General features: G+C 38.8%; 1 long non-coding RNA gene across 1 annotated transcript in view, besides 1 other annotated feature; it reads right to left on the bottom strand.

Annotated features, from left to right (window-relative positions):
- LINC02661 (long intergenic non-protein coding RNA 2661) overlaps positions 1 to 12,300 on the bottom strand; it is a 132,148-nt gene that overhangs the window by 107,749 nt on the left and 12,099 nt on the right. The window lies entirely within an intron of this gene.
- Positions 3,776 to 3,945: an enhancer, noted in NCBI's record as "experimental_9749 CRE fragment used in MPRA reporter constructs". NCBI's record gives its function as "activates a minimal promoter by MPRAs in K562 erythroleukemia cells, with activity observed for the introgressed 10:110488836 variant allele {active_cell/tissue: K562}" and the evidence as "EXISTENCE:reporter gene assay evidence [ECO:0000049][PMID:34662402]".

Genomic DNA, 12,300 nt, shown 5'->3' with positions numbered 1-12,300 from the left:
CCATCACTACAGCAGTTACTACTGTTATCACTTGAGACCTTCATTACAACTGAAGAAAGGGATGAATGTAGAAATAATAAAAAGCAAAAGAAACTGTTTTAAGGAAAGGCTAGCATGGGGAAGAAGAGAGAGGAAAAGAAGAAAAGAGCTCCCTGCTTCTAGTGAGCAAAGGCAGCCGCCCTGAGCTTCCACAGCCCTTCTTATTTATTGGGTAACAAGAGCAAGGAGGAGGAGGTAATGATTGGTCAGCTGCTTAATTGACCACAGGTTCATATTATTACTAACAGGCTTCAGCTGTACCTAATCACAAGAAACATTTGTGCGGCCTCCCCTTTTCAAATTAATTGAGCAAGGCAATTGCAGGCTGTGCAGCCCTTAACTGCCAGTTGGTGATCCAGCTTCATTTTTCTTAACCCTTATTCAAAACAGAGTTGCTCTGGTTTGAATGCTTCTTACATATTTTCCCCTTCCCTTTTACAAGAGGACCCTTAATCCTAAGGGTTGCAGAAGGATGAAGGTCCGTCTTCTGCAACTTCTTCATGCTGAGTAAGGGCAATGATATTCCTGCCTAGTAGGGTCTCTTGTATTCAGGGTAGAGAGGAGCTCAGTCAGAAAGCATTGGTTCGTTAAACATCGATTGTGCCTCTGAGTTCCAGCAAAAGGTGAAACTCTGGCGCTCCATCAGTTTCTCAGCTTCCTGTGTGGTTTTCTTGATCTGTCCCCGTATTATGGGGGTTGATGTCAGCATGATTTCCGTCGGTCCGCGTTCTGTCTTCTCATTCGGATTCAACTGGCTCATGGCTCATACTAGGGGAACCAGGCCTGTAATTGGAATCCATGGGTCCCACCAGTCTCCCATTCCATGGTTGCACACTTCTTGAGGGCACCTGCATGGCTTGTCCATCTTCTGTAAAGACACAAGCATACCCTCGTCCCCACGTTAGTAAACCTACTGAAACAGAAGCAAAAACCTTTTGTGGCTGTAGCCAGAAGGCATGCCGTTGCTGAGCATTTGTTAGCTCAGCTTCTGCTTCTTTGGTTAATTACCGTGGGGTAAAACTTTCCAGTGACAATGAGAGACAGGCTGTTTCTCATTAACAGAAGACAGAAAGCAAATCGAGGCTTATCCTTTTCATACAACAGTATAGCAAAAAGCAATCCTTAAACTTTCAATTTGCACTGTACAGGTGGGTCCACTAGATGCTATGGGTTGTGAAAGATAAATCTCTCTCCTAGTTGCACTTCCAAATTCCTGACCTCCTTGCTTCTTCTTACGTAGAGAAGGGTACAATTTACAGGGAATAAGCAACAGTTGAGCAACATATTCTCCCGGTTCACAAACCCAAAGATTTTGTGACATTACCACTACCTGAATTTCTCCTTCACAATCAAAGTCAACAACTCCTGGGCCTGTAAGTTAAGACAGCTTTTACCAAAATCAATCCCATGTATCTTGTTCGCAAATGTCGTCAAATACCAATGGGAATCTTAGTAAGTTTGTTTCTTTCCATTAACATAATTTGTTATCTAGGAGATCTAATCCTGCATTTCCAGGTGTTCCTGGAGAGAGGCAATCCATGTGCCTCCGGAAACCCACCCCTGAGATGGAGTTGTGGCCTGGACGGGAAATGCCCTCATAGTTTGAGGTGCCCAGGTCCAGGCCCCCTTCTTGCTTCCCGACAGGAGAGTGCTGTTTTGATGAAATATTGAGTGGCATTCATTAGTCCGATGATTTCCTTTATTGCAACGAGGGCAAAGTCCTGGCCTTTTTTTCTATTAAGAGGGGAACTGTGTTACAAGATCCCTTTTGCCAAGAGGTCTGCTGCCATTCTTTTTTGAAACGTCCAATTTGTCTACACTTATAACACTTTCCCACTTTAGGGCTTGACCCTTGGCTTCCTTTAGATCTATCAGCTACCCAATTAGCCATTGCCTGAGTCAATACTGCAGAGCAATGAAGCTCAGCTTCCATATCCTGACAAGCTCTGAGAAAACCTCCCAAGTCCTCTGCACATCTCACAGGTGCCAGTGCACGTTTACAATCCACGAAAGCCAAAGCTAAAGTTAGCCTTTCTGTAGCCACAAAAGACAGTACAAGCCAATTTTCATCCTCCCTCTTCTGTTCACCACTTTCAATAGGTGCTGTAGGTGGGGCAAAAAATGTTCTAAAACCCTGAAATAAAAGATGGTATGTACCAAACTCCAAACAAAAAAGAGAAAAGAAATAGCCAAATTCTTCCTCCTGTTACCCTAATTCAAAAGCTTCCCATTCTTTGTACATCTAGGGCACTGACCAGTACATTTTTAGACCAGTACATGCTGCCTGAAGACTTGTAACAGGGTTGGTCATTCATCTAGTTGGTTTTAGGTTTTTTTTTTTCTTCCTGTTCTAGCATACCTTCCATGCAAATCTCTGCTAGTCTTTGCTAGTCTACATTTTTTTACCTCTTTAGGGCACTGACCTTATATTGCTAGTTTGATAGTCTTTATCCCTAGCTGACCCTGTCTGTCCCTGTGGTCCGTTAGTTCCTTCAAGTCCCTGTCTTTCCCTACCTACCTCTACCTTCTTACTTCTACATCCCTCCCTCTATCTCCCTCCCTCCCTCCCTCTATCTCCATCCCTCCCTCCCTCTACCTCCCTCCCTCCCTCCCTCCACCTCCCTCCAACTCCCTCCCTCCCTCTACCTCCCTTCTTCCCTCTACCTACCTCCCTCCACCTACCTACCTCCCTCCCTCTACTTACTTCCCTCCCTCCTTCCCTCTACCTCCCTCCCTCCTTCCCTCTATCTCCCTCCATCCTTCCCTCTACCTCCCTCCTTCCTTCCCTCCTTCCCTCTATCTCCTTCCCTCCTTCCCTCTACCTCCCTCCCTCTCTTCCTGCCTCCTTCCATCTATTCCTCCCTCCTTCTGTCTATTCCTCCCTCCTTCCCTCTCTTCCTCCCTCCTTCCCTCTCTTCCTCCCTCCTTCCCTCTCTTCCTCCCTCCTTCCCTCTCTTCCTCCCTCCCTCTCTTCCTCCCTCCCTCTCTTCCTCCCTCCCTCTCTCCCTCTCCCTCCCTCTCCCTCCCCCTCCCTCCATCTTCCTCTCTCTCCCTCCCTCTCTCTCCTTCCCTCTCCCTCCCTCTCCTTCCCTTCCCTCCCCTTCCCTCCCCCTCCACCTCACTCCCTCCACTTCCACCTCCCTCCCTCCACCTCCACCTCCCTCCCTCCACCTCCACCTCCCTCCCTCTACCTATTTATCTCTATTTATCTCTATTTGTCCCTGCAGGACTCTTCAGGTCCCTTCAGGTCTCTGTTTGTCCCTGATAGTTCCTGTGCAGGTTCCACTTGTGGCCGACTGCCACTACTACTACTTGAGTAACAGCAGTTACTGTTACTGCCTGAGACCATCACTACAGCAGTTACTACTGTTACCACTTGAGACCGTCATTACAACCGAACGAAGGGACGAATGTAGAAATGATAACAAAAAACATAAGTAACTATTTTAAGGAAAGGCTAAGCATGAGGAAGAAGAAGAGAGAAGAAAAGGGCTCCCTGTTTCTAGTGAGCAAAGACAGCTGCCCTGAGCTTCCACAGCCCTTTTTATTTATTGGGTAACAAGAACAAGGAGGAGGAGATATGATTAGTCAGCTGCTTAATTGACCACAGGTTCATATTATTACTAACAGGTTTTAGAGGTACCTAATCACAAGAAACATTTGTGCGGCCTCCAACAAATACCCAGTATGTAATTTTAAAACCCTTGCTCTCCCACTTCTCTCCCTGTTTTTGCAGTCCCCAGTGTCTATTGTTTCTATCTTTACGTCCATGTGTACCATCGTTTAGCTGGCATGTGTAAGTAAGAACATGTGGTAGTTTATTTTCTGTTTCCATTTTATTTCACTTAGGATAATGGCCTCCAGCTGCATCCATGTTACCACATTTTCTGTATCCAATCCACCACTTATAGGCACCTAGGTAAACTTCATGACTTTGCTGTTTTGAATAGTGCTATAATAAACCTACGAGTGCAGGTTTCTTTAGGATAAAATTATTTTTTTCCCTTTGGGTAGATATCCAGTATTGGAGTTGCTGGCTCAAATGGTAGTTTTATTTTTAGTTCCTTGGGAAATCTCCATATCGTTTTCCATAGGGGTTGAACTAATTTACATTCTCACCAACAGTGTATAAACATTCCCTTTTCAATACAACCTCACCAACATCTGTTATTTTTTTACTTTTTAATAATAGCCACTTGACTGGCTATTAATAATAGCCACTTGACTGGCTATTAATATAGCCATTTGATGGAATCTCATTGTGGTTTTGATTTACATCTCTCTGATGATCAGTGATGTTGAACATTTTTTCATATTTTTATTGGCTGCTTGTATGTCTTTTGAAAAATATTTGTTCCTGGTCTTTGCTCACTTTTTAATGAAGTTAATTTTTTTTTGCTTATTGATAAATTTAAGTTCCTTATAGATTCTGAAAATTAGTCTACTGTCAGAGGCATAGTTTGCAAATGTTTTCCCCCATGCTATAGGTTGTCTGTTTACTCTGTTATTTCTTTTGTGGTGCAGAAGATCTTTAGTTTTATTAAGTCTCATTTGTCAACTTTTATTTTTGTTGCATTTTCCTTTGAGGTCCTGGTTATAAATTATCTGCCTCAAACAATGTCTTGAAGACTTTTCCTAGGTTTTCTTCTAGAATTTTTACAGTTTCAGGACTTACACTGAAGTCTTTAATCTATCTTGAGATAATTTTTCTATATGGTGATAGGTAGGGGTCCAGTTTCATTCTTCTGCATATGGCTAGACAGCTTTCCCCACACCATTTATTGAATAGGGAGTACTTTTCCCATTGCTTATTTTTGTAAACTTTGTTGAAGATTAGTTGGTTGTAGGCATGTGGCTTTATTTCTGGATGCTCTGTTTTGTTTCATTGATCTATGTGTCCGTTTTTGTAGAAGTACCATGCTGATTTGGTTACTGTAGCCTTATTATATAGTTTGAAGTAAGGTAATATGATGCCCCTAGCTTTGTTCTTTTTGCTTTAGATTGCTTTGGCTTTTTGGGCTATTTTTGGTTCCATGTGAAAATTATGATAGTTTTTTTTTTCACTCTGTGAAAAATGACATTGGGAGTTTGATAGGAATTGCATTGAACCTGTAGAATGCTTTGAGAAGTATGATCATTTTAGTGATATTGATTCTTCTAATCCATGAGCATGGGAAGTTTTTCTATTTGCTGTGTCATCTATAATTTCTTTCAGCAGTGTTTTGTAGTTCTTTTGTAGAAATCTTTCACCTTTTCAGTTATATTTTATTTGTGTGTGTGTGTATATGTGTGGCTATTGTAAATGGGATTGAATTCTTGATTTGGTTTCCAGCTTGAACATTATTGGTGTATAGAAATGCTACTGATTTGTGTACATTGACTTTGTATTCTAAAACTTTACTGCTGTTGTTCATCAGGTCTAGCAGTGTCTTTGAGGAATCACTAGGGTGTTTTAATTATAAGATCTTATCAGCCAATGGAGATAGTTAGACTTACTCTTTTCCTTTCTGAATGTACTTATTTCTTTCTCATGACTATTCTGGCTAGGACTTCCAGTACAATATTGAATAGAAGTAGTGAAACTGTACATCCTTGTCTTTTTCCAGTACTTAGGGGGAATCGTTTCAACTTTGTGCATTCTGTATGATGTAGGCAGTGGGTTTGTCATAGATGGATTATATTATTTTTAGGTATGTTCTTTTGATGCCTAGTTTACTGAGGGTTTTTAATCATGAAAGAATGTTAGATTTTATAAAATGCTTTCTCTGTGCCTAGTGAGATGATATATTTTTTTTGTTTTTAATTCTGTTCATGTGGTGAATCACATTTATTGATTTGCTTATGTTGAACAATTCTTGCATCCAGGGATAAAACTCACTTGATCATGGTTAGTTATCTTTTGATGTGCTGTTAGATTTGCTTTGCTACTGTTTTCTTGACAATGATTGCATCTGTGTTCACCAGAAATATTGGCCTGCAGTTTTCTTTTGTTGTTGTTGTTGTGTCCTTACCAGATTTTGGTTTCAGGATTATACTAATTTTGCATAATGAATTAGAGAGGAAACACTCCTCCTCATTTTTTTTTTTTGTAATAGTTTGAGTAAGATTGAAACCAGCTCTTCTAGTAAACTTTGGCTGTGAATCTCTCTGGTCAAGGGCTTTTTTTGGATGGTAGTTTTTTTATAATTGATTTAATTTTGAAATTTTTCATTGGTCTGTTCAAGATTTCAATTTCTCTGTTTTGGTACCAGTACTATGCTGTTTTGGTTACTGTAATCTTGTAGTATAGTTTGAAGTCATGTAGCGAGATGCCTCCAGCTTTGCTCTTTTGGCTTAGGATTGACTTGGCAATGTGGGCTCTTTTTGGTTCCATATGAACTTTAAAGTAGTTTTTTCCAATTCTGTGAAGAAAGTCAATGGTAGCTTGATGGGGATGGCATTGAATCTATAAATTACCTTGGGTAGTATGGCCATTTTCATGATATTGATTCTTCCTACCCATGAGCATGGAATGTTCTTCCATTTGTTTGTATCCTCTTTTATTTCATTGAGCAGTGGTTTGTAGTTCTCCTTGAAGAGGTCCTTCACATCCCTTGTAAGTTGGATTCCTAGGTATTTTATTCTCTTTGAAGCAATTGTGAATGGGAGTTCACTCATGATTTGGCTCTCTGTTTGTCTGTTGTTGGTGTATAAGAATGCTTGTGATTTTTGTACATTGATTTTGTATCCTGAGACTTTGCTGAAGTTGCTTATCAGCTTGAGAAGATTTTGGGCTGAGACAATGGAGTTTTCTAGATATACAATCACATCGTCTGCAAACAGGGACAATTTGACTTCTTTTCCTAATTGAATACCCTTTATTTCCTTCTCTTCCCTGATTGCCCTGGCCAGAACTTCCAACACTATGTTGAATAGGAGTGGTGAGAGAGGGCATTCCTCTCTTGTGCCCGTTTTCAAAGGGAATGCTTCCAGTTTTTGCCCATTCAGTATGATACTGGCTGTGGGTTTGTCATAGATAGCTCTTATTATTTTGAGATACGTCCCATCAATACCTAACTTATTGAGAGTTTTTAGCATGAAGTGTTGTTGAATTTTGTCAAAGGCCCTTTCTGCATCTACTGAGATAATCATGTGGTTTTTGTCTTTGGTTCTGTTTATGTGTTGGATTAATTTATTGATTTGCATATGTTGAACCAGCCTTGCATGCCGGGGATGAAGCCCACTTGATCATGGTGGATAGGCTTTTTGATGTGCTGCTGGATTCGGTTTGCCAGTATTTTATTGAGGATTTTTGCATCGATGTTTATCAAGAATATTGGTCTAAAATTCTCGTTTTTTGTTGTGTCTCTGCCCAGGTTTGGTATCAGGATGATGCTGGCCTCATAAAATGAGTTAGGGAGGGTTCCCTCTTCTTCTATTGATTGGAATAGTTTCAGAAGGAATGGTACCGGCTCCTCCTTGTACCTCTGGTAGAATTCGGCTGTGAATCCATCTGGTCCTGGACTTTTTTTGGTTGGTAAGCTATTGATAATTGCCACAATTTCAGAGCCTGTTATTGGTCTATTCAGAGATTCACCTTCTTCCTGGTTTAGTCTTGGGAGGATGTATGTGTCGAGGAATTTATCCATTTCTTCTAGATTTTCTAGTTTATTTGCATAGAGTTGTTTACAGTATTCTCTGATGGTAGTTTGTATTTCTGTGGGATCGGTGGTGATATCCCCTTTATCATTTTTTATTATGTCTATTTGATTCTTCTCTCTTTTCTTCTTTGTTAGTCTCGCTAGCGGTCTATCAATTTTGTTGATCTTTTCAAAAAACCAGCTCCTGGATTCATTAATTTTTTGAAGGGTTTTTTGTGTCTCTATTTCCTTCAGTTCTGCTCTGATTTTAGTTATTTCTTGCCTTCTGCTAGGTTTTGAATGTGTTTGCTCTTGCTTTTCTAGTTCTTTTAATTGTGATGTTAGGGTGTCAGTTTTAGATCTTTCCTGCTTTCTCTTGTGGGCATTTAGTGCTATAAATTTCCCTCTACACACTCCTTCGAATGTGTCCCAGAGATTCTGGTATGTTGTGTCTTTGTTCTTGTCGGTTTCAAAAAACAGATATAGACTAACGGAACAGAACAGAGCCCTCAGAAATAATGCCACATATCTATAACCATCTGATCTTTGACAAACCTGAGAAAAACCAGCAATGGGGAAAGGATTCCCTATTTAATAAATGGTGCTGGGAAAACTGGCTAGCCATATGTAGAAAGCTGAAACTGGATCCCTTCCTTATACCTTATACAAAAATGAATTCAATATGGAATAAAGACTTACATGTTAGACCTAAAACCATAAAAACCCTAGAAGAAATCCTAGACAATACCATTCAGGACATTGGCATGGGCAAGGACTTCATGTTTACAACACCAAAAGCAATGGCAACAAAAGCCAAAATTGACAAATGGGATCTAATTAAACTAAAGAGCTTCTGCACAGCAAAAGAAAAGAAACTACCATCAGAGTGAACAGGCAGCCTACAGATTGGGAGAAAATTTTTGCAACCTACTCATCTGACAAAGGGCTAATATCCAGAATCTACAATGAACTCATACAAATTTACAAGGAGAAAACAAACAACCCCATCAAAAAGTGGGTGAAGGATATGAACAGACACTTCTCAAAAGAAGACATTTATGCAGCCAAAAAACACATGAGAAAATGCTCATCATCACTGGCCATCAGAGAAATGCAAATCAGATCCACAATGAGATACCATCTCACACCTTTTAGAATGGCAATCATTAAAAAGTCAGGAAACAACAGGTGCTGGAGAGGATGTGGAGAAATAGGAGCACTTTTACACTGTTGGTGGGACTGTAAACTAGTTCAACCATTGTGGAAGTCAGTGTGGCGATTCCTCAGGGATCTAGAACTAGAAATACCATTTGACCCAGCCATCCCATTACTGGGTGTATACCCAAAGGATTATAAATCATGCTGCTACAAAGACACATGCACACGTATGTTTATAGTGGCACTATTCAGAATAGCAAAGACTTGGAACCAACGCAAATGTCCAACAATGATAGACTGGATTAAGAAAATGTGGCACATATACACCATGGAATACTACGTAGCCATAAAAAATGATGAGTTCGCGTCCTTTGTAGGGACATGCATGAAACTGGAAACCACCATTCTCAGCAAACTATCGCAAGGGCAAAAAACCAAACACCGCATGTTCTCACTCATAGGTGGGAATTGAACAATGAGAACACATGAACACAGGAAGGGGAACATCACACACCAGGTACTGTTGTGGGGTTGGGGGAGTGGGGAGGGATAGCATTAGGAGATGTACCTAATGCTAAATGATGAGTTAATGGGTGCAGCACACCAACATGGCACATGTATACCTATGTAACAAACCTGCACACTGTGCTCATGTACCCTAAAACTTAAAGTATAATAATAATAAAATTAAAAAAAAAGATTTCAATTTCTTCCTGGTTTAATCTTGGGAGGTTGTGTGTTTCCAGCATTTTTTTCATTTCCTCTAGGTTTTCTAGTTTGTGCATTTAAAGATTTTTATAGTAGTCACTGGGGATCTTTTGTATTTCCACGTGTGTAACGTCACTTTTGTCATTTCTGAAGTTGCTTATTTGAATCTTTCTTTTTTTCCTGGTTAATCTAGCTAGTGATCTGTTAATTTTGTTTATCCTATCAAAGAACCAACTTTTTGTTTTTTGATTATTTCTATCATTTTCCTATTCTCAGTTTCATTTAGTTCTGCTATAATTTTTGCTATTTATTTTCTTCTTTTAGCATTGGGTTTGGTTTCTTTCTTGTTTTTCTAGTTCTTTTAGGAGAAATATTAGGTCGTTAACTCGAGATAGTTCTACCTTTTTGAGGTATGCATTTAGTACTGTAAGCTTTCCTCTTAACACTGCTTTTGCTGCATCCAAGAGGTTTTGGTATGTTTTGTCTCTATTTTCATTTGTTTTAAAAAGTGTTTTTGATTTTTGCCTTAATTGTTTTGTTTACTAAAAAGTTCTTAAGGAATAATTTGTTCAGTTGCCATGTACTTGTGTGGGTTTGAGAGTTCCTCTTCATATTGATTTCTAATTTTATTCCACTGTGGTCTAAGAAGATACTTGATATTATTTCAATTTTTTTGAATTTATTGAGATTTGCTTTATGAGCAAACATGTAGTTAATTATATAAAATATTCCATGTACAGATGGAAAAAATGCATATTCTGTGGTTGTCGAATGGAGTATTCTTTAGATGACTACCAGGTCCAATTTATCAAGTGTCCAATTTACTTCTAGAATTTCTTTGTTAGCTTTCTGCCTTGGTATACTGCTGTCAGTGGGGTGCTGAAGTAGCCCACTATTATTGTGTGACTCTCTATCTCCTTTCTTACATCTAGTACTGTTTGTTTTATAAATCTGGGTGCTCTGATGTTGGGTTCATACATATTTAGTGTAGTTAAGTCTTCTTGTTGAATTAAGTCGTTTATCTTACATAAAGGCCTTATTTGTCTTTTGTCTTTTTTTATTGTTGATTTAATGTATATTGTAGCTGATACAGGAATAGCCATTCTTGCTCATTTTGTTTTCCACTTACATGATTTCTTCGTCTCTTTACTTTGAGCCTGTGGATATTACTAGATGTGACATAGGTCTCTTGAAAGTAACAGAGGTTAAGCCTTTTTTCAAATCCAATTTGTTACTCATGTCTTTCAAGTAGAGTACTTAGGCTGTTTACATCCAAGGTCAATATTGATATTTGAGGTTTTGTTCCTGTCATATTGTACTAGGCTGTTTACATCCAAGGTCAATATTGATATTTGAGGTTTTGTTCCTGTCATATTGTTGCTAGTTGGGTGCTTTGTAAACTCAATTGTGTAATTGCTTTATAGGATCTGATAGCTTTGAACTTATGTGCTTTTATGGTGTCAAGTATCATTCTTTAATTTCATTCGGAAGCTCTTTGAACATTTCTTGTAGGGTTGGTCTGGTGGTGACCAATTCTTTCAGTGTTTTCTTTTCTGGGAAAGACTTCTCCTAGTTTATGAATCTTAGTTTGGCAGGATATGAAATTCTTTGCTGACATTTTTTAAGGAGGCTAAAAATAGGCCACCAATCTTCTTTGCCTCATAAGGTTTCCACTGAAAAATCTGCAGTTAATCTGATGGGATTTCCTTTATAGATAATTTGGCTGTTTCTCTACCTATCTTTAAGATTTATTCTTTTGTGTTGACAATGGATAATCTGATGACTGTATGCCTTTGGAATAGTCATTGATATACTTTGGCTCTGTGTCCCCACCCAAATGTCATGTTGTAATCCCCATTATTGGGGGAGGGACCAACTGGAGGTGATTGAATCATGAGGGCAGATTTCTCCCTCACTGTTTTCTTAATAGTGAGTTCTTATGAGATCTAGTTGTTTAAAAGTATGTAGCGTTTCCCCTTTTGCCCTCTCTCCTGCTGGCCATGTGAAGATGTGCTTGCTTTCCCTTCACCTTTTGGCATAATTGAAAGTTTCCTGAGGACTCCCCAGCTATGCTTTCTCTACAGCCTGTGGAACCATGAGCCAATTAAATCTCTTTTCTTTATAAATCCCCCAATCTCAAGTAGCTCTTTATAGCAATGTAAGAGCAAACTCATACAGTCATCTAATATATTATCTTCTTCTTTGATATTTCTTTTATCTGGATGTTGACCTCCCTAGCAAGGTTAGGGAATATTTCCTCAATTATTCTCTCAAAGTTGTTTTCCACCTCTTTTATTTTTTATCATTCTCTCTCAGAGATGCCAATAATTTCTAGGCTTGATCATTTTACATAATTCCATATTTCTATAATTCCAAAGGCTTTGTTAGTTTTAAATTTTTTTTGTATGACTGGGTTAATTTGAAAGACATCTTCAAGCTCTGAAATTTCTTCTTCTGCTTGATCTAGTTTATTGTTAAAGCTTCCTACTATATTTTGACAGTCCTGTCACGAAATTTTCTATTCCAGAAGTTCTATTTTTTCTTGATATAGCTATCTTGTATGTCATAAATATATTAATTTATGACATTAATATATGTCATAAATTGTATGTCATTAATATATATCTTGTATGTCATTAAATATAATCAGTTTATTGGATTGTGTTAAATTTCAACTTTCCTTTGGAACTCATTGAGTTTCCTTGGATCCATATTTTGAATTATTTATCTGTTGTTTCAGGCTTGTCAATTTGGTTAGGATCCATTTGCAAAGAGC

This window comes from Homo sapiens, chromosome 10, assembly GCF_000001405.40.
Source record: "Homo sapiens chromosome 10, GRCh38.p14 Primary Assembly".
NCBI lineage: Eukaryota > Metazoa > Chordata > Mammalia > Primates > Hominidae > Homo > Homo sapiens.
Note: the sequence above shows the minus strand (reverse complement) of the source record. Positions and strands in the feature narration are given on the sequence as shown.